The sequence below is a fragment of the Homo sapiens genome, chromosome 11 (assembly GCF_000001405.40).
Source record: "Homo sapiens chromosome 11, GRCh38.p14 Primary Assembly".
Taxonomy (NCBI): domain Eukaryota; kingdom Metazoa; phylum Chordata; class Mammalia; order Primates; family Hominidae; genus Homo; species Homo sapiens.
Window position 1 is genome coordinate 71,112,681 of NC_000011.10, and position 24,101 is coordinate 71,136,781.

The 24,101-nt window shown below is 48.9% G+C and overlaps 1 protein-coding gene across 19 annotated transcripts in view; it reads right to left on the bottom strand.

Annotated features, from left to right (window-relative positions):
* SHANK2 (SH3 and multiple ankyrin repeat domains 2) overlaps nucleotides 1-24,101 on the bottom strand; it is a 785,381-nt gene that overhangs the window by 644,827 nt on the left and 116,453 nt on the right. For 18 of the 19 annotated variants that reach the window (NM_001441030.1, NM_001441032.1, NM_001441037.1 and 15 more), the window contains 2 exons: nucleotides 6,149-6,352; nucleotides 613-684 (listed from right to left, as the gene is read on the bottom strand). In NM_001441030.1, the coding sequence (NP_001427959.1) occupies nucleotides 613-684; nucleotides 6,149-6,352 (276 nt within the window). The remainder of the gene's footprint in view (nucleotides 1-612; nucleotides 685-6,148; nucleotides 6,353-24,101) is intronic. The other variant, NM_001441038.1, reaches the window with a different exon arrangement.

The window sequence follows — 24,101 nt, forward strand, 5'->3', positions numbered from 1 at the left end:
GTTAAGCAAAGTGCTCCGCCCACACACCCTATGCCTCAGCCCCCTCTCCACGCCTCCTCCTCGACTCGCACAGCACCCTGAAAGACAGCAGGGTGTTCATGGTGTGGATGTCTTATCTGGGACTCTGAGCTCAAGGCATAGTGCATTCCGCCAGGTTCTGAACACTCTGTGCAACGCCCCTGCTGCTCACCTGCAGTCTAACTTCAGTGCAATTTATGTGAACAGCACTTTAACAAGGTTTTTCCTGAAGCAACAACAGCAGAACACTAATACGGGGCTCACTGTGGACCCGCTTCCCTCCACCACGCCAGGCGTCCAGATCCCACTCTCTTCAGAGATGCCGCTTTTGACCCTCCCTGGAGCAGCCAGTAGGATCTGCCTCCCTTCCCCCAGCACCCACGGCCACACTAAGCAGCCCCTGCTGCCTCCCGGGTGGGTCTCCGCAGTGTGCACCGTAAGGGCCAGTCTGCCTGTACATCCCAGCCCAGCCACACGCCATGCCAGGTACACAGCAGGTGCCCCTGGAAGAGGAGCGTCTAAAGATAACACAACAAGATAACAAGGAGGACGCCGCCTGCCTAACGTGTAAATAACAGCCCGTTCCCTGCATACCTTCGTGTGGAGCTTGGCCAACTGTTTCTCATCGAGACTGGCTTGTTTATACACCCGCTTCTTGTATCGAAACTGGCACAGAAAACAAAAAAGAGAGAGAAAACAAGTCAATACTTCTCAGAGTTGTTCAGAGGGAAAACGGGCCTTTTCCTTGGCTATGTCACAGAAGACGGGGAACCCCACAGCAAACTTCCAGTTTTAAATAAATGACTGGTATTTGCACCCCAGAGCCTACAACATCCTCAGCATCACTTTTGTCAAGATTCTGTAGCAGTTTAGCTAAAAAGCCATATAAAGAAACAGGAGCAAGGGGAAGGGAAGATCCTGCAGGTGAGAAGCTGGGAGGTCTCCCTCCCGGTGACCGGCTCCCCAGCTAACTGAGTGGTTATGGTTCCTCCCAGGGGAATGGATCAGCCCTTGGCAAGGCATTTTTGGTAAATGAGGATGCTGCTTCAAACACCAGGTTTTTCTCCTACATTGTCCACCTTTGTTAAAACACACCCTAAAAGCCTGGGCTGGGAAAGGCCCCACCTCCTGTACTCCTGCAACCTCTGCCCAGATCGCTGAAGCCACTGTTTTTCCCTCCAAACAGCAGCGCCTCCTTTGAACTGGAAATTACATCACTGCATGAACCAAGGAGCACATCTTCCTCAGATGCACGGAGTAAGCAACATTGTCGGAGTGGGCTTGGTGAGACTCTAAAATACCTCCTCCCTCCTCCAGCCCCCCGCTTGGCTGGAGATGCTGCAGAAGGTCTGGGAAGGATGCTGAGCATTTAGGAGTCACTGGAGTTTGGAGCTGGGACCTCTGTTCCAATCCCAGCCCTAATGCTCTCAACTCACAGAGTTAACTCAGGGCTGGGCACTTTCCCATCTCAGTTTCCTTATCTGCCCCATGGGGATAATAGCACCCACCTCCCAGGGTGGCCTGAGCATTGAATGTGAGCTTCCTGGCACAGACCTGGCACTAGACAAGTCCACTTTATCTCTCCCTCCTTACTGCCCTTGATGCCGTCACCCTGCACGGTTACACATGTGCTCAGAGCCAGCAAAAACCGCCCCTGGGTAAAATGATGGTGCGGGGCAGGTGGCGGGTGAGCTCATCCTGAAACTGAAAGTCGCATCTCACAGAAAAGCTTCCAAATAAACAACCCTAGTCTCCTTTCTCCACCACGCCAAACAAAATGGCTATTTGACAAAAGACAAAATTCTTGTGCACAGACTGATACTTGTGGGGTTTTGTTTTCAACTGGCCAAATAAACCAGCTGTGAAATCGGAAAGTTCTGTGAAGCGCAGGCTGCACAGAGTTTGGGGAGAAAGTGCGCTGGTCAGAAGGGCATCCATTCATTTCCCAGAACAGAGCAGGCAGGAGGAGCTACAGGCCCATTTTAGAACTTCCACTTCTGATTCTAGATTTCAGGACAGCAGGTTCTGTGCGTCCATGCCCCGGGACCAATCACACCTCTGGTCCAGATTTCAGAAGCCACTGAGAATGATGCCAGGTGCCTTCTCAGGCTCATGATCATGTGGCTAAGCTTAAAAGTCTCAGGGAATTCAATTCCACGGGGCCCCTTTCCAGACATAAAACAATCCGCTTGGGCCCACAGCATCTCTGGGGCAGGAGGGTAAAGGACTCAAGGAGGGAGTGTTTATTCCAGAGTCACAAACATTTATAGCCCATAGCTACAGAGGACACCGGCTCAGGACCACAGACCCTTTTTCTTGCTATTTCTCCAACATTTCATAAGCAGCCCACCATATTGTGCTGAAATTATCTGAGGCAAAGAGCCCAGACTGATGCCCGCCCCTAATGTGTCAATCCCTGAGCCAATCTCAGCCTTTGCAGTGGGTCATGCAAAGGAGATTAATAAACCTAAGTATCGGCATCAATTTTGGCCGGGCGTGGTGGCTCACGCCTGTAATCCCAGCACTTTGGGAAGCCGAGGCAGGTGGATCAACCTGAGGCCAGGAGTTTGAGACCAGCCTGGCCAACATGGTGAAACCCATCTCTACTAAAAATGCAAAAATTAGCTGGGCGTGGTGGTGGGCACCTGTAATCCTAGCTATTCAGGAGGCTGAGGCACAAGAATCGCTTGAACCCAGGAGGCAGAGGCTGCAGTGAGCCGAGATCACACCACTGCACTCTAGCCTGGATGACAGAGCGAGACTCGGTCTCAAAAACAAAACAAAACAAAAAACAAAGTATCAGCAACAATTTCATGACAATGAAACCAGAGCAGCAGCTGCAAAGTCAATTTGGGGACTTGTGGATGGCCAGGCTCACAACGCACACACTGCTCCATGAACACTTCCTCTGGGCCTCACGACCACTCCCGGACATCACTACTAACATTCACTCAATGTCATGAATGGGAATCCGGGGCTGAGAGAGCATGGGTGGCTGGCTCGAGGTTGCACAGCTGCAGGTACTGGGGCCAGATGTAGAGGAGACTCCCAAATTCTCTGGTCTTCTCGCCCAGTTTTCCTGCCGTTATGGAAATGATCAGCCCCTGAAATGAACTGCATGGATTTACTCTTCCTGGTCCATCACCTCCCACTGGAGTGTAAGGTCCGTGGGATCAGAACCTTGACTTTTCTGTGCCAGAAAAGTGTGTGGTCCTTAGTTGGCCCTCAATGACAATTTTTTTCCCAATGGATACCCATTTTACAGATAAGCAAACTGAGGCCAGGACAGCTGAGTGATTTGCTCTAAACCACACAACTTCCAAGTGGCATCTCATCTTTTTCTACACTGAAACCCCTCCCTGAATCTGACACATGGTCCACACTGGGGATCCCAATAACCTCAGCCTCAGTGTCACAACGGAACTGAGAAACGTGCAGACGCGGCATCACCTTAGCCCTGGGTGGGCGTCCATGACATCTTGGGCTTCAGAGGAATCCCTAGTCACTGAGTAGAGAACCCACTTAGGTTGCTCAAGTGCCAGCTGCAATTACACACATGCAGCCTCTTGCTGTTGACTAAGCTAAAATGAGTGCAATCGCTGAATGATGCCAACATGTTGTGCAGGAGTAGAAATGATCCGTTTCTGGCTTCTCTTAACTGACGTAACCCAACACGTATACACTGCAGGAAACAATGCCTGTAAACTTGGGGCGTAGCAAGCCTGGGTGAGAGAGGTAGGGACAGGGGTCGTGCATCACGTGGAAATGTGTAGGGCTGCCCCGTCTTACGGATCAGCCACTTCTGGAGGGAGGCCCAGGAGCTTGTGGCTGCTGACAGCAGCTCAAAGAGCCCCGGTCACCCGGGCAGGAAGCAGAAGTGAAGCTGTGCTGTTGAGAACAGCTGGATGGTCACAGCCGCCCTGTTACTCAAGGACTCAGAGATGAATTGGAGAATGGTATGGTTTGACTGTGTGTCCCCTCCAAACCTCATGTTCAAATGTGATCACCGGTGTTGGAGGCGGGGCCAGGTGGGAGGTCTTTGGGTCCTGGGGCGGATCCCTCCTGAATGGCCTGGAGCCCTCCCCATGGTAGTCAGTCAATTCTCGCTCTGTTAGTTCACGGGGGAGCCAGGAACTACTCCTCCCCTGCTCGCTCTCACACCCCCTCTTGCCACCTAACATCTGCTCCTGCTTTGCCTTCTGCCATGAGAACAAGCTCCCTGAGGCCTCAATGCTGAGCCCATGCCGGCACCACACTTTCTGTACAGCCTGCAGAACCGTGGGCCAATTAAACCTCCTTTCTCTTAGCCAGCCTCAGGTTTTTTTGTTGTTGTTGTTTTAGATAGAGTTTCAGTCTTGTCGCCCAGGCTGGAGTGCAATGGCACCATCTTGGCTCACTGCAACCTCCACCTCCAGGGTTCAAGCAATTCTCCTGCCTCAGCCCCCCGAGTAGCTGGGATTACAGGCACACATGACCACACCCAGCTAATTTTTGTATTTTTAGTAGAGACGGAGTTTCACCATGTTGGCCAGGCTAATCTTGAACTCCTGATCTCAGGTGATCCACCTTCCTCGGCCTCCCAAAGTGCTGGGATTACAGGCATGAGCCACCTCACCCAGCCAGTTATTTCTGTATAGCAATGAAAGAACAGACTATCGCGAGGAATATGATGTAATTTAAAAATTCCTTCTTTGTGCCTGACTCCTGGCAGAGTTCCTAAAACCTTTGTACTGTCCTCAGTGATAAGAGTATCTCTGGAGCACTAATGAGATGACTCTCAACTCCCAGGTAGCTTCCAGGATGGGGGCTGGTGGCCGGAAGGATCAGACTATGACTCGAGGGTCAGGACTCCCAGTCGCCCTGCTGACTGGCAGGATGGAGTCCAATCACCATGGTCAGTGATTTCATCCTATGTAATGCCTATGTAATGAAACTTCCATAAAAATACCTCAACAATGGGGCCTGGGGGCTTCTGAGCCAGCAAACACATCCACATACTGGGAGGGTGGTGCACGCCCAACTCCACAGGGATGGAAGCTCCTGCACGCTGGGCCCTCCCGACGTCGCCTAGTGCACCTCTTCATCAGCTGTGCGTTTGTACACTTTGTAATAAGCCAGGGGTAGCAGTTAAAATGCCTTCTTAGGTTCTCTGAGCTGCTCCAGCAAGGGATGGAACCCAAAAAGGGGGTGGTGGGAACCCCTAGTTCACAGCCAAATGGGACAGAAATGTGGGTGGCCTGGGGACTTGACGTTTATGGAGGGCAGTCTTATGGGACTGAGCCCTTAAACTTGTAGTTAGTGTCAGAATTGAATTAATTATTGACATCCAGCTGGTGTCTGGAGAGGTGGAGAAGGAAAATACACCACCCATTAGGCGCTGGGAAGGAAAAATTTAAAACCCCTCAGAGAAGCATGGGGAGCCCCGTTCTCCATGCCCAGGGCCCATGGTCCTGGTTATGAAAGCCTGAATCAGACCCACGGTTTATTATTCACAGCAAGATTTCTCTGCAGGGATTCTTTGAATCTGTAGTGAAAAAAAAATGTATAAAAGTTGTACAACAGTGTGAGATTCATGGCAAAATCAGAAGCAACCTTTTATTAGTCCATTTTCACACTGCTATAAAGAAATACCTGAGACTGGGTAATTTATAAAGGAAAGAGGTTTAGTTGACTCACAGTTCCATATGGCTGCGGAGGCCTCAGGAACATTACAGTCATGGTGGAAGGCGAAGGGAAAGCAAGCACCTTCTTCACAAGGCAGCAGGAGAGAGAACAGCAAAGGAGGAACTTCCAGACACTTATAATAAAACCATCAGATCTCGTGAGACCTCACTTACTATCATGAGAACAGCATGGGAAACCGCTATGATCCAATCACCTCCTCCCTCAATACATGGGGATTACAGGTCCCTCCCTCAACATGTGGGGATTACAATTAGAGGTGAGATTTCGGTGGGGACACAGAGCCAAATCATATCAAACCTCAAGACCCCAGACTGATTTTTAAATGTGGGGATAATTTCCCAATGCAAATGGAATTGGTCTCGCCCCACCACCATGTCTCCCCCACCCACCATGGCATCCAGGCTGTGACACAACCACAGTCCATGCACTGTGGGCTGAAATATACCTCCAGGGAAGGAACGCCCTCACCCACGGGCTGTGGGTACTCGCGCAGGAGCCGCTCCTCATCCAGGAACTTGCCGTCACGCCCATTGCTGGCCGGCTGGAACAGGCCGTAGTTCAGGACATCTTTCAAACTCTGGGTTAATGTACACAGGATCCGCTGCTTTGCAACCCACACTGTGGCATCCGGGTTAAATCGAATGCATTTCTGCCAGGAAGGACAAAGACAGCTGATGAGTGACAGAGGACGCTACCTGAGTCACCCATGTGGGGCGCGTGGTCAGAGAGGCAAAGCTGCTTCCACCCCTTCCCGACACTTCCTCTGAGCAGTGAACCCACGGCTTTTCACAGTGAAAAATAAAGCCTACTGGTTGCTGGGACACAGACATTCGGTAAATATAAAAGGGAAAAAGGAAAGACCGAGGCATTGGTCTCTTTGGCCTTGATCTCACCATGGACTCAAATCTCCAGCACTGGCCGGGTGCGGTGGCTCACGCCTGTCATCCCAGCACTTTGGGAGGTCCAGGCAAGCAGATCACAAGGTCAGGAGATCAAGACCATCCTAGCCAACATGGCGAAACCCCATCGCTGCTAAAAATACAAAAATTTGCTGGGCATGGTGGTGCGTGTCTGTAATCCCAGCTACTCTGGAGGCTGAGGCAGGAGAATCGCTTGAATCAGGGAATTAGAGGTTGCACTGAGCCGAGATTGCACCACTGCACTCCAGTCTGGCGACAAGGCGAGACTCCATCTCAAAAAAAAAAAAAAAAATTCTCTAGCCCTCATAGTGTCTTTTTGGTCATCAATGACCACCTGTCACCTCAGGGCCCTCTCTCACTTGCATGGCACTTCTCAAACTCCAGCAGTTTGAAAAACACAGGTCAGAGACCCCACTTATGTCTCCCTAACATGATGTCTGATTCAGCAGGTCTGGGTGGGACCTGAGAACCTACATCTCAGACAAATCCCAAGGTGCTACTGCTGCTGCCGTCCTGGGGAACACACATTCAGAGCCACAGCCCGCGCATATTTCAATGTGACTTAATTTTGACATGGATCGTTCTTTAGCATTTCAGATTCGGTGGAAGCCTTGTCTTATAACCACACTGACGAGAAAGTTTTCATACTACCTACGCTGACTCTGAACACAAAAGCTTTAAAAATGCAGTCATCACCTCTCCTCCCAAAGGACACAGGAAAGCAATTACGGAAAAACGATTTGATGGAAAATCAAATCAGTTGCCATGAGAGTTCATTTTTGCAAAGTTAAATAGTGTCAACAGGGCCTGCAAACCAATCACAACACTTCAAACATATAATAGCACCTCTGAGGACTGAAATAACAACAACTTGGTCATGTTCCCAGGTCCCCTCTGTGAGACTCACCAGTGAGCCAGGAAAGGCAAAGGCCAGGCAAATCCACTTCTAGCCATGACTTCTAATTTTTGTTGAATTAAAATTATATTCTACTGAACAGCTGTCAGCAGGGGCTCAATAATTCACTTTGTCACTGTCAAAGTGTTCAGAACAAAAGGAGGTTTGATTGAATATAAGACTCAAACCAATTCTCTATCTGAGGATTCTGTGGGTTTGTGCCCAAGAAAGCAAAAGGCCCTATCATCTTCCCAAGACAGCCCGAGGGTAAGTTCCTCATCGCTGGGAAAATGATCCTGGGACGGCCAACAGGAGGTCGGGTTCAGTGGGCGGCCAGAGTCCTCCCTGCCAGGAAACCTGACCCTGTGCACAAAAGCTCCTGTTTCTCCCTTCCAATGTCAAAGGCTGAGCTCACGTGTGGCTCTCAAAGCTCCCCACAGGGCTGTGAGGCTGGGTGGGGGCAGTTGTTTATTCCAGAAAGATTTCCAGACCCGCACCCTCCCCCATCCTTGGCTAAGCAAGGACTCTCTGGAAACTCCTGGCACAAGAAACAAGCTGTATCAGGTGTGACCAGGTGGGGCCGCTCACTACTCACCCTTCAGTTGCAGGAATCCTTCTAGGCCCCTCCAATTCAAGCTCCAACATCCACAGAGCCCATGGCTCCCTCCCTGACACCTGCAGAGAAGCTTCAGCCAAGGGGCAATTCCTTGGAGGAGCACAGGGCTCCAAACTGCCTCTCAGGGGACTTCTGTGCCACTGCAGGTGATTGCAAAGATAGGTGTCCACCGTCATTTGTGGACAGGGTGGGGATGCTGTGTCTGTGCAGCACGGGGGCCAACCCCACAAAGCAAGAACCATCTGCTCCAGAAAATGCTAAGAGCACCACCTTGAGAATCATCTAGAAGGAGCAAGAGCTCAAAGGTCGGAAAGCCTGGGTTTGCAACCCAGTGGGGCACACCAACCTTGATTCCTAGGGAAACCCACCCACCCAGCAGTCCTCTGATTCCCCCATGAAAATCAGAGCCACTACTTAACTTCAGGGCTGCTGTCAGGATCAAACAGAATATAAATAAGACATGTTGTTATGGGCTGAACTGTGCCCCTCTAAATAAATGTTGAAGTCCTAATGCCCATACCCTATGAATGTGATTTATTTGGGAATAGGATCTTTGCAGACGTAATCAAGTTAAGATGATGTCATACAGGAGCAGGGTGGACCCTAATGCAATAACTGTGTCCTTAAAAAGGGAGTAAATCTGGATATTAGCCCTTTGTCAGATGGACAGATTGCAAAAATTTTCTCCCATTCTGTAGATTGCCTGTTCACTCTGATGGTAGTTTCTTTTGCTGTGCAGAAGCTCTTGAGTTTAATTAGATCCCACTTGTCTATTTTAGCTTTTGTTGCCATTGTTTTTGGTGTTTTAGTCATGAAGTCCTTGCCCATGCCTATGTCCTGAATGGTACTACCTAGGTTTTCTTCTAGTGTTTTTATGGTTTTAGGTCTAACATTTAAGTCTTTAATCCATCGTGAATTAATTTTTGTATAAGGTGTAAGGAAGGCATTCAGTTTCTTCTGCAAAGAACTTAAACAAATTTATAAGAAAAAATCAAACAACCCCATCAAAAAGTGGGCAAAGGATATGAACAGACACTTTTCAAAAGAAGACATTTATGCAGCCAACAGACACATGAAAAAATGCTCATCATCACTGGTCATCAGAGAAATGCAAATCAAAACCACAATGAGATACCATCTCACACCAGTTAGAATGGCGATCATTAAAAAGTCAGGAAACAACAGGTGCTGGAGAGGATGTGGAGAAATAGGAATGCTTTTACACTGTTGGTAGGAGTGTACACTAGTTCAACTGTTGTGGAAGACAGTGTGGCAATTCCTCAAGGATCTAGAACTAGCAATACCATTTGACCCAGTGATCCCATTACTGGGTATATACCCAAAGGATTATAAATCATGCCACCATAAAGACACATGCACACGTATGTTTACTGCGGCACTATTCACAATAGCAAAGACTTGGAACCAACCCAAATGTCCATCAATGATAGACTGGATTAAGAAAATGTGGCACATATACACCATGGAATACTATGCAGCCATAAAAAAGAATGAGTTCATGTCCTTTGAAGTGACATGGATGAAGCTGGAAACCATCATTCTGAGCAAACTATCGCAAGGACAGAAAACCAAACACTGCATGTTCTCACTCATAGGTGGGAATTGAACAATGAGAACACTTGGACACAGGGCAGGGGAACATCACACATGGGGGCCTGTCTTAGTGTGGAGGGTTGGGGGAGGGAAAGCATTACGAGAAATACCTAATGTAAATGACGAGTTAATGGGTACAGCAAACCAACAAGGCACATGTATACATATGTAACAAACCTGCACATTGTGCACATGTACCCTAGAACTTAAAGTATAATTTTAAAAAAAAGTGAGAAAATCTGGACACGGCATCATGCACACGGGGAGACGACCACGTGAATGGGAAGGCAGAGACTGGTGTGTCCCATCTGCAAACCCAGCAATGCTAAGATTTCTGGTAAGCCCCCAGAAGCTGGGGTAGAGGTAGAGAATCTGGGACAGATTCCCCCTCAAGCCTCAGAAGGAACCAACCTTGCCTACCCCTTGACCTTGGACTTCCAGCCTCCAGAATTTGAGACAATACGTGTCTGGGATTTAAGGCACCAGTCTGTGGTTGGTTATGGCAGGCATGGGAACTCATAAACGTGTGAATCACCTGCCACTAATTGTGGCAGCAAAAAAACAGCAGCATCATCATCTCTGAGAGCGGAACTCAGCAGGTCGAGCATTCCCAGCTCCCAGGGAGCTCCCCTCCCTCCATACGTGATGGGAGCCACCCACGTGTTCACACCAGCTCCCGGCAAGCCCACGACGTCAGAAGACACTTTGGATGAATCCTACTTCAATTCTTCACCTACCCATCATTGACTCACTGTCCAATCAGGCAAACCCCAGGTCCAAGAGCAGGCCTGACACAGTACAGGTGACTGACACTGGCTGAATGATGTGGGAGCCACAAAGACAATAAATAAGAAGCAAACCAGCCTGAGGTCACCATTTGTAGTGGGGAAAAACACCTACTCAACTGTCACACAATATGGAAAAGGTAAAAATCCATGCTAACACGAGCTCCCTTGGGGACCCAGAGGAAGGAGTAAGTGACGCTGCTTGGTAAGGAGCACACATCATAGGCTGCTGCCCAGGAATACAGAGGGATATGCGAGTCTGGGGTAGGACTTCCAGGTTGAGGGCCCATCATAAGGAGAGGGAGGGAGGCAAAGGTAGAACAGCGATGAGTCTAGCAGGTGGATGGCCCAAGACAGTTTCTGCCTTAAGTGACCCTTCCTGGTCCCACTGTTACCAGTGTGAGCCTTGGTCATGTCAAGTTCTCCTTGAGGAGAACAGTATCTGATTCTGGTCTCCCCACAGCCCTGCGAGGTGGCTATTCCTTTATAATTTGTTAGAGATGTTCTGAGTGAGTGAGTGATTTGTTAGATGACTCACAGATAGTACAGAAAGGATGGCAAAGACAACAGTGTATAGGAAGTCCCAACCCTGGCCAACTCCTCTAAAGGATTACTGGAGGAAACAACTCTCTTCTCCTTGAGCTTCTATCTTCTGTGCACAGGGTCCTATACCAGCACCAGGACAGGAGTGGGTGAGAGGACACGAAGATGACCAAGATGTGCTCTTGCCCCTTAAAGAGTTCAGTGTCTACAGGGAGGGGATGATGATGATGGTGGTGATGCTGATGATGAGGGTGGTTGTAATGGTGATGATGGTGGTGGTAGTGGTGGCAGTGATGGTGGTGATAATGGTGATGATGGAGATGTTGGTAATGGCGATGATAGTGATCATGATGGTGATGATGGTGATGGTGATTGATGGTGATAATGGTGATGATGGTATTATGATAGCGATGATGGTGATGGTGATGATGGTGATGGTGATGATGGTGGTGATGATGATGGTGACAATGATGGTATGATGATAGTGATAATGGTGATGATGTTGGTGAAGGGGATGGTAGTGATGATGATGGTGATGGTGACAATCATGATGATAGTGATGGTGATCATAATGAGGATGATGATGGTGATGATGACAGTGGTCACTGCAATGATGACAGTAGTGGTGATGATGAAGATGATGGTGATGACAGTGATAATGATAACCATGACACAGTGATGATTACCATGTATTGAATCCTAATAAGCCAGAAATTACGCTAACCTTATCACCTTCACCACAACCCTAAGTGGATATTATTATTACTTTTTGTATAATATTATTATTACTGTTTATATAATAATATTATTCTCATTCTCTAGATAAAGAAGCTGAGCCTCAGAGACTCCAAGTAACTACCCCAAGGTCACACTTCTAGAAAGCAGTAGAGGTTTGGTTTAAACCCAAGTCAAATCTCCCCATCTCCCGAGTTCTTGCTGTTCAAGTGATAGATGATGTTCCTCTCTATACACACCCACTGCCAATCTTAGTGCAGGCAAATCATAAATTAGAGGCATATCCCATTCTATTTCACTTGCTTTATTGAGCTTCACAGAGAAGGTGTTTTTGCAAATTGGAGGTTTGCGGCAACTCCGCAACGAGAAAATCTATCGGCATTATTTCTCCAACAGCACACGCTCACTTCATATCTCTGTGTCACATATGAGTAATTCTTGTACTGTCAAATTTTTCATAATTATTATATCTGTTAGGATGATCTGTGGTCAGTGATCTTTGATGTTACTATTGTCATTGTTCTGGGGTGGCATGAACCACACCCATATAAGATAGGAAACTTAATAAAAGTTCTGTGTGTTCTGACTGTTCCACTGACCAGCTATTCTCCCACCTCTCTCCCTCTCCTTGGGCCTCCCTATGCCCCGAGACACAATAATATTGAAATTAGGTCAAGTAATAACCCTACAGTAGCCCCTACGTGTCCAAGTGAAAGGAAGAGTCACACATCTCTCATTTTAAATCAAAAGCTAGGAGTGATTAAGCTTAGCAAGGAAGGCATGTTGAAAGCTGAGTCAGGCCAAAAGTGAGGCCTCCAGCACCAAACAGTAAGCCATCGTGTGAATGCAAACAAAATGTTCCTGAAGGAAATTAGAAGGGCCACTCCAGTGAACACACAAATGGTAAGTGAAACAGGCCTTAGTGCTGACAGGGAGAAGGTTTGAGTCACCAAACTTTGATGATCAAGACGGTCACAACATTCATTTAAACCAAAGCCTCATCCAGAGCAAGGCCCTGACTCTCTTCAATTCTCTGAAGGCTGAGAGAGGTGAGGAAGCTGCAGGAGAAAGGCTGGAAACCAGCAGAGGTTTATTCATGAGGCTGAAGGAAAGAAGCCATCTCCATAACAGGAAAGTGTGAGGTGAAGCAGCAAGTGCTGATGGAGAAGCTGCAGCAAGTTCTCCAGAAGATCTCGCTCAGATCATTGATGAAGGCGGCTACACTAAACAACAGATTTTCAATGTAGACAAGACGGTCTTCTATTGAAAGAAGATGGCATCTAGGACTTTCATAGCTAGAGACAAGAAGTCAACATCTGGCTTAAAAGCTTCAAAGGACAGGCTGTCTTGTTAGGGGCTAATGCAGCTGGTGACTTTAAGTTGAAGCCTATGCTAATATATCATTCAAAAAAACCGAGGGCCCTTAAGAATGATGCTAAATCAATCGGCCAGGCGCGGTGGCTCACGCCTGTAATCCCAGCACTTTAGGAGGCCAAGGTGGGCGGATCATGAGGTCAAGAGACAGAGACCAGCCTGGCCAACATGGTGGAACCCCAACTCTACTAAAAATACAAAAATTAGCTGGGTGTGGTGGCAGGCACCTGTAGTCCCAGCTACTTGGGAGGCTGAGGCAGGAGAATTGCTAGAACCCAGGAACAGGATGTTGCAGTGAGCCGAGATCATGCCACTGCACTCCAGCCTGGTGACAGAGTGAGACTCCGTCTCAAAAAAAAAAAAAAAAAAAAAAAAGAATTATACTAAATTAACTCTATCTGTGCTCTATAAATGGAACAGCAAAGCCTGGATGACAGCACATCTGTTTACAACACATGTTACTGAATATTGTAAGCCCACTGTTGAGACCTAATGCTCAGAAAAAGAGATTCTTTTCCAAATATTGCTGCTCCTTGACAATGTACCTGGTCACTCAAGAGTGCTGATGGAGATGTACAAGGAGATAAACGTTTTCATGCTTGCATACACAATATCCATTTTGCAGTCCATGGATTAAGGATTAATTTCGACATTCAAGTCTTATTATTTAACAATATATCTTGTAAGACTATAGCTGCCACAGATTCCTCAGATGGAGCTGGGCAAAGTCAAGTCAACTGAAACCTTCTGGAAAGAATTTAGCATTCCAGATGCCATTAAGAATATTCATGTTTCATAAGAGGAGGTGGAAATGTCAACATTAAGTTCGGAAGAAGTTGATTCCAACCCTCATAAACGACTTTTTTTTTTTTTTTTTTTGAGATGGAGTCTCATTCTGTCACCCAGGCTGGAGTGCAGTGGGGCGATCTTGGTTCACCACAACCTCCGCCTCCCACCTCAGCCTCCTGAGTGGCTGGGACTACAGGTGCCCACCACCCTACCCAGCCAATTTTTTGTATTTTTAGTAGAGACAGGGTTTCACCGTTAGCCAGGATGATCTCGATCTCCTAACCTCGTGATCTGCCCACCTCGGCCTCCCAAAATGCTGGGACTACAGGCTTGAGCCACCGCGCCCAGCTAAGAATATTCACGATTCATAAGTGGAGGTGAAAATATCAACATTAAGTTTGGAAGAAGTTGATTCCAACTCTCATGGATGACTTTGAGGGATTCAAGCCTTCGGTGGAGGAAGGAACTGCAGATGTGGAAATAGCAAGAGAACTGGAATTAGAAGTGGGGCTGACGATGGGACTGAATTGCTGCAATCTCATGATAAAACTTGAATGGATGAGGAGTTGCCTCTTTGGGATGAGCAGAGGAAGTGGTTTCCCGAGATGCAATCTACTCCTGGTGAAGATGCTATGAACACTGTTGAAATGTCCACACAGGATCTAGAATATTCCATAAACTCAGTGGATAAAGCAGTGCAGGGTTTGAGAAGATTTCATCCAATTTTGAAATAAGTTTTACTGTGGGTAAAATGCTATCAAACAGCATTGCATGCTACAGAGAAATCGTTCGTGAGTCAATTAATGCAGCAAACTTCTTTGCTGTCTTATTTTATGGAATTGCCACAGCCACCCCAACCTTCAGCAACCACCACTCTGATCAGTTGGCAGCCATCAACATGAGACAAGACACTCCACCAACAAAAACATTACAGGCCACTGAAGATGCAGGTGATTCTTAAGTATTTTTAACAAAGTATTTTTTAATTAGGGTATATACACTGCTTTTTTAGACATGATGCTATTACATACTTAATAGACTACATAGAGTATAAATATAACTTTAATGTGCATTGGGAAACCAAAAAATGTGTGTGCCTCATTTTATTGCAAGATTCATTTTATTGCAGTGGTCTGGAACCAGACTCACTATCTCTAAGATATGCCTGTTATGTAAGTCATTGAGAATACTGAAGAAGATGTTGATGTTCAGGTCATTTCTGGATCAGAAGACATATTCCCTTTGTTCAGACCTTCCAGGCTGCATACAACCCCGCGCCCCAGCCTCTGGTGGACCAGCCATCCTCTCCGCGTCTGCCGGCTGGAGCCCCACTCTCCTTTCCACCGGGGCCGAGGTCTCACGATGTCATCTCCCTGGCCTCCTGCAGGCTGAGCTGACCACTGGGCACCTTGGGTGGGAACACAAGGAGCTGCTCCGACTGCCCACGGCCCTCAGGCCAGCTGACTGGCCCTGCTCCCTTTCCTGTCTGGCCCATGAGTCTCGGCCTCTTCACCTTGCATTTCCTGTCTCCCAGGAAGGTGGGAGCAGTGCTGAGTTTCATATTTTGCCTTAGGATGTTTCTCCTCACTCTCTCCTAACTGGTAGGCAGGAGTTGGTCCCTCTGTCACTCAATCTCCTAAAGGCTGTGATGTCCAGATCCTTCCGAAACCTGCTGCGTGCCTGGCCCAAGGGGCTCAAGACACAGAAAACCTGCAAATGGATGTAACGAGATCTCCGAGACACAAACCAGGCTGTCTTCTCCCTTATCTCCAGAAAGGCAGTACATACAGCATGAGACCTGGGTGGTGATGGAGTGGGACAGGGGCTGACATGGTCAGGAGCTGTGGAGACGGAGTTTGTGGCTGACACCAGCCTTGCGATGATGTACACACCGATCCCGGAAAGTTCTCAGGACTTCTTCAGGCCAGCCTCAGTTCTCTCTAAGTTCCCTTCATACCACAAAGCCCCTCAGCCACAAAAGGGAGCTGTGTCCTAGCACAGATGAACCATCCACATCTTCCCGTCCCTCCTACTCCTCCCCATCTCTCTCTCCCCCGACATCTGTCTCAGCACCACTGCAACGTCCAGCCAGTTAAGTGCTCCTCCCTGCCCCAGCCCGAGCTGCCTGAGGACAGGGGTTTCTTTTTTTGAGTCAGAGTCTCACTCTTTCGCCAGGCTGGAGTGCAGTGGTGCAATCTCAGCTCACTGCAACCTCCACCTCCTGGGTTCAAGCAATTCTCTTGCCTCAGCCTCCAGAGTAGCTGGGACTACAGGTGCCCACCACCACGCCCGGCTAATTTTTGTATTTTTAGTAGAGACAGGGTTTCGCCATGTTGACCGGGATGGTCTTGATCTCTTGACTCCATGATCCATCCGCCTCGGCCTCCCAAAGTGCTGGGATTATAGGCATGAGCCACTGTGCCCGGCCATTTCTGTCTTTTTCTTTGCATAACCAAACCAAAGCTAGTAAACGTGGATGGCATTGAACAGCATTGGATCAACATTCCAGACATGGAACACTCCTGGGTAGTATCATCCAACAGTCAAGAAAGGTCTGGACTTCACAGCGGGGCTGACGGGAGTTTCTGCCTACTGAGTCTTGCTTGTACTCAGTGGACTGTGCAGACCATTAACTACAGCAATGATTCTGGCGAGGGGAGGCTACGCCACCGAGGTCTGCAGAGCTGTAAGTTACAGAGCTAGGGTTGGCCATGCTGTTGAACAGAGTGATACATCTACACCCCTCTTAGTACAGTTCATGGTCAAGCTCAAATCAAAACCAAAGAGCAGGCGAGGCAACATAGGGAAACCGTCTCTACGAAAAATGAAAATTTTTAAAAATTAGCCAGGCATGATGGTACGTGTCTGCAGTCCCAGCTACTCTGGAGGCTGAGATAGAAGGGTCCCTTGAGCTGGGAGGTTGAGGCTGCAGTGAACTATGATTGCACCGCTGCATTCCAGCCTGGGTGACAGAGCAAGACCCTGACTCAAAACAAAACAAAAGAAAAAATGGAGACAGTGAGGGAAGGTCACTCACACTTGGTTCACATGAGTTACAAGTATTCTGCAAGGTGAGAGGCTAAGAACTGAGACTACTGGACTGTGGGCAGAATGCGGGCACTGGAGACAGGCAGAGGCAGCTGTGTTTGGCCTGAGTCTGCCACTTACGCTGAGTTATGAGTCACTCGGGCTGCTGTGGCAAAGCACCACAAAACAGGCTGCTTAAACCGCAGACATTTATTGTCTCCCATTCTGGAAGCCATAAGTCTGAGATCAAGATGTCTGCAGGGCTGGTTCCTCTGGAGGCCTCTCTTCCTGGCTTGCAGACGGCCACCTTCTCTGTGTCCCCAGGTGGTTGTCCCTCTGTGTGTGTCTGCGTCCTCACCTCCTCTTCTCATAAGGACTCCAGTCCGATGGGATCAGGGCCCACTCTAACAACTTCATTTAACTTGATTGCCTCTGTAAAGACCCAATCTCCAAATAAAGTCTCATTCTGAGGTCCTGGGCTATGACTTCATTCAATATAGAAATTTTGGTGGGGGAGAGACTTAGCCCACAACACTGAATGACCATGGGGCGAGTCTCTGCAACCTACCAAGGGCCACCACCTGCCTGTGTTGGGACACGTCCGCACTGCTGAGTAAGACACATAAACAATGGTGGAGCAGCAAACCAGCGCCGAAAAGTATCCGGCCTGCCAGGGTCACAGGAGCTTCTTGGGCAAGGCTGTTTTGATTTACAGCAATGTAGCAAGAAGAGTTTCCTGTGAGAGACTAAATTGCTTTCCAAATCTGTTTTGGGCCCTGTAAAATGGCGATGATGACGGGTGATTTTGGAAGATTGTAGTGAGGGCAAGGAAGTGTCTAGACAAAGCTTGAGAAAATGGTAAATATTATACCATATAAAATAGGTCTTATTGCCATGGGTTATCTGAAAGCTGTGGAAAGGGCCATCTACAACATGAGGCTTGGATTACACAGATGGATTCAGGGACCTCCACCTCTACGGCATCTGCTAACTCACCTTCCTCAGGTGAGACTTACATCCACCTTCCTCTTGACTTCTACCCAAGGAGCCCAGGAAAAGCCAAGAGAACAAGGGGGAGGAAATGCCAGAGCATCTCAGGTCGTGGCCCCACAGGGATATTCCCTATTCAGGATCTGGAGCCAGAAACGCAGACCCCGGGGACGATCAAGATGCCAGCTCTGCAAACGCATGTAAGCAGCGTTCAGCAAGAACTTAGGAAAGCCGGAAAAAACTCCAAGTTTCTGAGCACGTCATTCATTACAAAGAAGCGCATTTCACATTCAGAATTTCCTCTGCAGCTACGGTTTCTGTCATCATCAAGTTCTGCATGATGCATTTTTAAGGACCCGTCATAAACACAAGCTTGGCAGGGGCCACGGAAAGGTGCGCGCAGGCGTCTTCGGGTCTTTGATAGCTGTTCACGTGCAATCCGTGTACTTGCACACCTCCAACAAATAACCAACATCAAGGTCACCCCAAACTACAATTGGTTTATTCCCAAATGCAATTATCCAAATGAAATAATACTTCTTACTGCGGACAGAGGCCCATTGGGCTGGTGCTCGTGGTGGCAAACACTAAAACCCCGGCACGGGTAACACACGAAGCTGAAATCAGACATGTCAATGGAACAGGGAAATGTGGGGTGACCTCGACTCAGAAGGACAGCCTAGTCGGGGGGTGCTGAGGTCCAAGAGTCAGGCTTAGTGCTTCTGCATGTTTAAACGCCAATAAAGGGTAACGGAGCTGTGGATTCGTTTTTCCAATCAGAACATTTTTCGCACAGTGAAAGCTTCATGGCAGCCGCTGGATGCTGTGGCGAAGCGGTGGGCAGACTGTATCTCCAGGCGATTAGTAAGAGGCTGCCTGTCTGTCTCTGCTATTGTCAAGGTGATGCTAAACTGGGAGACACTGCTTGGTTCTGCCAGTGGTCCATGGACTCCTTGGGGGTGACTTAATCTTCCTCTTTTCATAGCCATGATTTCAGGCAGAGCCATTGTAAAGCAGAGATCAGATGCTGGCCAGAGAAGTCCCTTTAGAAGCAATAAATTGAAGTGAAGTAAGTCAGCCATGGAAGGGGGGTTATAATTAAAAAGTCCTGACTGCAGACACAAAACACTTACTATGTGCCCATAGCCTGGCTCGTAAGCATGTTAAACACATCATCTCTTCCTTATGTTCTCCGGGAGGCCGCATTAGCACCCCCAGGCCCAAAGAGGAATGCTCCAAAAATGCCAGATCATTCCCAGAGCCACACAGCTGCAAGAGGAGGAGCAGGGATTAAGGGGGTCCCCGAGGCCGAGCTAATGAGTCCAACTCGATCCTGGCAGCACACAGACGGAGCCATGAGTCAGGAAGATTAAGCCAGCAGGAGGTCAGAAAGTGGATTAGCGACGAGGCCACAGAGGCAGGTGAGGCTGCTGCCGGGACGCAGATGCTGCTCAGAAGCTGTGGTGTGGGAGGCCTTGTCCGCCCAGAAGGGAGAGCAGCGAGGGAAGGGTGGAGGCTGGCGGGGAGGCAGAGTCGGAGCCAGGCTGGAGGAATCGCCCAGGTCCAACCTCAGAGCAAAGATGCTGGAAAAAAGCCTCACCCTTGGATTTAACACAGAAAAGTAAAAACTGATGATCTGCGGCCCTGGTATTGCCACCCTCTGGATAAGCCTTACCAGCTTGGGATGCCAGCAAAGAGGGGACGGCTGCTCCTCACCAGCATGGCCCCAAACCACAATACTCCCCCTACACTGTGGGATTTACAGAGCTTTGCTACAGAACTTGTAGTAATTCCAGACCAAAGTCACTTTTCCCGTACATTGTTTTCTCCATGAGATTTAAGTAGGCATTAACTCTAAGCCAACGATGAAGAGCACCTCAAGTCAAGACGTTTTATGTGCAGGCTACGGAGACCCTGCAAACTGGGCCAATCTCTCCCATATACAAAGCACGAACCCAATACGTAACAGAGGAAGGGTCCACATATAATCCTTACAATATTTGCTTTAAATGACGTGTAAGAAAACAAAGTCCTTCTCTGCCTTTATCGAGGATGCCCTGTGACGTGAATAATAACCAATATGATCAAGGCTTGACTTTCCATGGCAACTTTCATTGGAAGGCCCCACAGCCTTCCCTTTTTTTCTAAACAATTTGTAACTCACCAGTTTCTTGACTAAAATAGTCAAGTGTAAACCACTCCTCTTAAGGACAGGTAGGCTAGTTTTCATTGTTGTATTACAGAGACAGTGGAGGCAGAGGGAAGGCTGAGGGGCTGGGGAGCAGCACTCTCTTTGGTCTTAGCAACCAGTTAATGAAACCACAATCAGATTCCATGCCTTCTACCTCCCCAAGAGGTAATCCAAATGCATACTACAAAGGACATGGCGGGGCTACTCAAAGTGGAGACCAAAGATCCTAACCATGTATTTCTATAATCAAGAGAATGGATAGATGGGTGAATGAGTGGATGGAGGGAGGGAGGGAGGGGTGAGGTGGGTAGGAGGATGAGTGGATGCATGGATGGGTGGCTGGGTAGGTGGGTGGCTGGGTGGATGCACAGATGAATGGATGGATGGATGGATGGATGGATGGATGGATGGATGGATGGCCGGCCGGACGGCTGGCTGGCTGGCTGGCTGGCTGGCTGGGTAGGTGGGTGGCTGGGAGGATGCATGGCTGGCTGGCTGGCTGGCTGGGTAGGTGGGTGGCTGGGTGGATGCACAGATGGAGGGAAGGATGGATGGACAGATGGAGGGAGGGAGGGAGGGACGGACGGACAGACGGAGGGAGGGAGGGAGAGAGAGACAGAGGGATGGACGGACGGATGGATGGCAGGCAGACAGGCAGGCAGGCTGGCTGGCTGGATGGATAGATAGACGGATGAGTGAGTGGAGGGGGGATGTGGATGGATTGGAGGGTCAGGGGATGGGTGGGTAGGTGGGTGGAAGCGTAGAGTGGAGGGGTGGTCTAGGGGGCCTCCCTGGTTAGGCTGGAGTCAGTGTTGGGCCACACTCCATGGACTCAAAGTTTTTGAATAAAGACCATTATCATGTTACCATCTTCTGCCCAAGTCCTTTTTGATGACTTTTCTTTTAGGGCAGAAAATGTGCTCATGTCAAGGCAACATATACCTAAACTTCTAATTAAGTCTATAATCCCAGAAGAATTTCATTTAGCTAACAAGCAACTGGGAGAGAACATTCTGGAACAAAACATCTGAAACTGAAAGGGCAGCCCAAAGGAAAACTATGTATTTTTTTTTTTTTTTTAGGGAAGGGGTCTCATTACGTTGCCCAGGTGATCCCCCTGCCTGAGCCTTCTGAGTAGCTGGGATTACAGTTGTGCACCACTGCACCCGGCTACATTCGTGGATAAAAGAGCTTTTACCTTTCTCGGTGGACTGGGTGACTTGACAGTGCAGAAAGCTCCTCCGTGGCAGGAGGCCCGGAGTGGGCACTGGACACAGCACAGGTGGGAGGGGAGGGGCTCATCTCCAGCAGGAGAGGCAAAGAACTGAGACAAGGCTTCCCTCTCAGTCCACGTGCGGTGCCACCCCATCACTGACGATGGCCAGAGCAGGCATCTGGGGAGGGGAGAGGGGGAAAGGGGAAGTGACTGCCAACAGGGGTGGGGTTTCCTCTTGGGGGGATGGAAGCTTCCTGAGATTCACAGTGGTGATGGGCTCACTCATCCGTGAATTTCCTAAAATCCAACGACTTGCACACTTCCAATGGGTGAATTATATGGCATGTATATTACATCTCAATTTTTTTTTTTTTTTTTTGAGACGGAGTCTTGCTCTGTCGCCCAGGCTGGAGTACAGTGGCACGATCTCGGCTCACTGCAACCTCCACCTCCCAGGTTCAAGCAATTCTCCTGCCTCAGCCTCCTGAGTAGCTGGGATTATAGGCGTGCATCACCACACCTGGCTAATTTTTGTATCTTTAGTAGAGATGGAGTTTCACCATGTTGGCCAGGCTGGTCACAAACTCTTGACCTCAAATACTCCACCCGCCTCGGCCTCCCAAAGTGCTGGGATTACAGGCATGAGCTGAGAAACTGCAAAGACGCAGGCCTCACATCTTAAACCCTCTCTCCAGGACAGCCCCACTGGCTTTGTCATAGGGAAGCGTCTGTGGGTCTCCAGCTTTCCCTGCACTTCCCAGGGTCCCAGCCTCCAGCACCATTTACCTGGAGCCCCCATCTCTTCTAATCCTTCTCCTCTCACCAGAGAGGCCAAGATTACCCTTTTCAAATATAAACGATGTCACATGCTCTGTACCAAACCTCTGCCCATCAAATACAACCATGGCCTCCTTGTCATGACCCTATACCTGGACGCCCACCGCCCACCTCTGCTGCCTCACACACACTGCTCCCGCAGCCCTCAGCCTTCTCTGCTGAGCCAACACACCAAGTTTGTGCATACCTCAGGCTGGCTGTCCCTGAAGACCCTCACCCTAGAAGATTCCAAGCAAAGACCCTCTCCCATCCTCTGAGGCTCTGTACAGCCATTGGCGCCTCACCCCACAGAGGCAAGGGTTTAAATGAATTCACTCACTCCATAGCCAGATACCCAGCATTCACTCGGTTGTACCGGCTGATGGGGTACAAGGATGAGCAGAGCCTGCACTAGGTGTCCTTGTGGAGCGGAATTGCTGCCCAGCTGCCCCCCAGGCGCTTAGCTGTGAAATCCCCCTGTAAACAAAGAGACCGAGGAGAAGCCATGGAGCCATGGAATCCTCAGGAAAAAGAATCCACTGACTTGCACACTTCCAATAGGTGTGTGCCCAGACTAGGGGGGATATGTTTTTTTTTTTTTTTTTTTTTGAGATGGAGTCTCACTTTTGTCACCCAGGCTGGAGTGCAATGGCACAATCTCAGCTCACTGCAACCTCCACCTCCCAGGTTCAAGCAATTCTCGTGCCTCAGCCACCACACCCAGGTAATGTTTGTATTTTCAGTAAAGATGGGGTTTCACCATGTTGGCCAGGCTGGTCTCGGACTCCTGACCTCAGGTGATCCACCTGCCTCAGCCTCCCAAAGTGCTGGGATTACAGGCATGAGCCACCGTGCCCAGCCGGGGAGGACCTGATTTTTATCCTCAGACCGGGAAGAAGTCACAGGAGGGCTGGGCTCAGCGGTGGCCACGGTGTTCACATGTACACAACCACCCAAGGCCTCACCTAGAGAACTTCTGACAGTCTGGTCTGAAGCTGTTCTGGTTGCCCAAGAGGAAGATGACAGGAAAGGTGGGGTGGTGATGAAGGCTGAGGGAACAACACAGGCTTGCGGGGGTCTAGAAGGTACAGTGACCAGACTTAGGGAGGGACTGGCTATAGGAGCTGTAGAGATGGAAGCTCAGGAGGACGCCTACATTCTGGTTGCGACGGCTGAATCAAAGATGGTCCCCACGGCGAAAAAGTGGAAAGAATCCAGCTGACCATTGAGTGGGAATGGATCCACAAGATGTGGTCCCTCCATGCAAGATGATGAGAATCAGAACAAGGCTCAACAGGGCTCTGCTAAACGCCACCCTGGGGATGGACCTCAAAGCTGTCATGCTTCAGCCTCAGGGTCCACCAAGACTGGATCAAGGAAACGTGGTGCATATGTGCAACGGAATACTACTCAGCCATAAAAAAGGAGAGCATGTCTTTTGCAGCAACAGGGATGGAACTGGAGACCATTATCTTACATGAAAGGACTTGGAAACTGAAACTCAAATCCTGAATGTTCTCACTTATAAGTGGAAGCTAAATAATGTGTGTGCAGGAATGCAGAGCGTGGAATGATGGACACAGGAGACTCAGAAGGGTGGTGGGGGGTGAGAAATTACTTAATAGATACAAAGTACATCATTCAGGTGACGGTCACACGAAAAGCCCACACTTTACCTCTATGCAACATTCCCATGTAATAAAACTGCATTTGTACCCACTGAATTTATACCCAAAAAAGCTGATTATGCTGAGTCAAAGAAATCAGGCACAGAAGGCCACATGTTGTTTGACTCCATGTCTGGAATAAGCAAATCCACACAGACAGAAAGTGGCTTCCTGGTCGTCAGGGGCTGGAAGTGGGGGTGGGGATCCACTGCAACCCAGC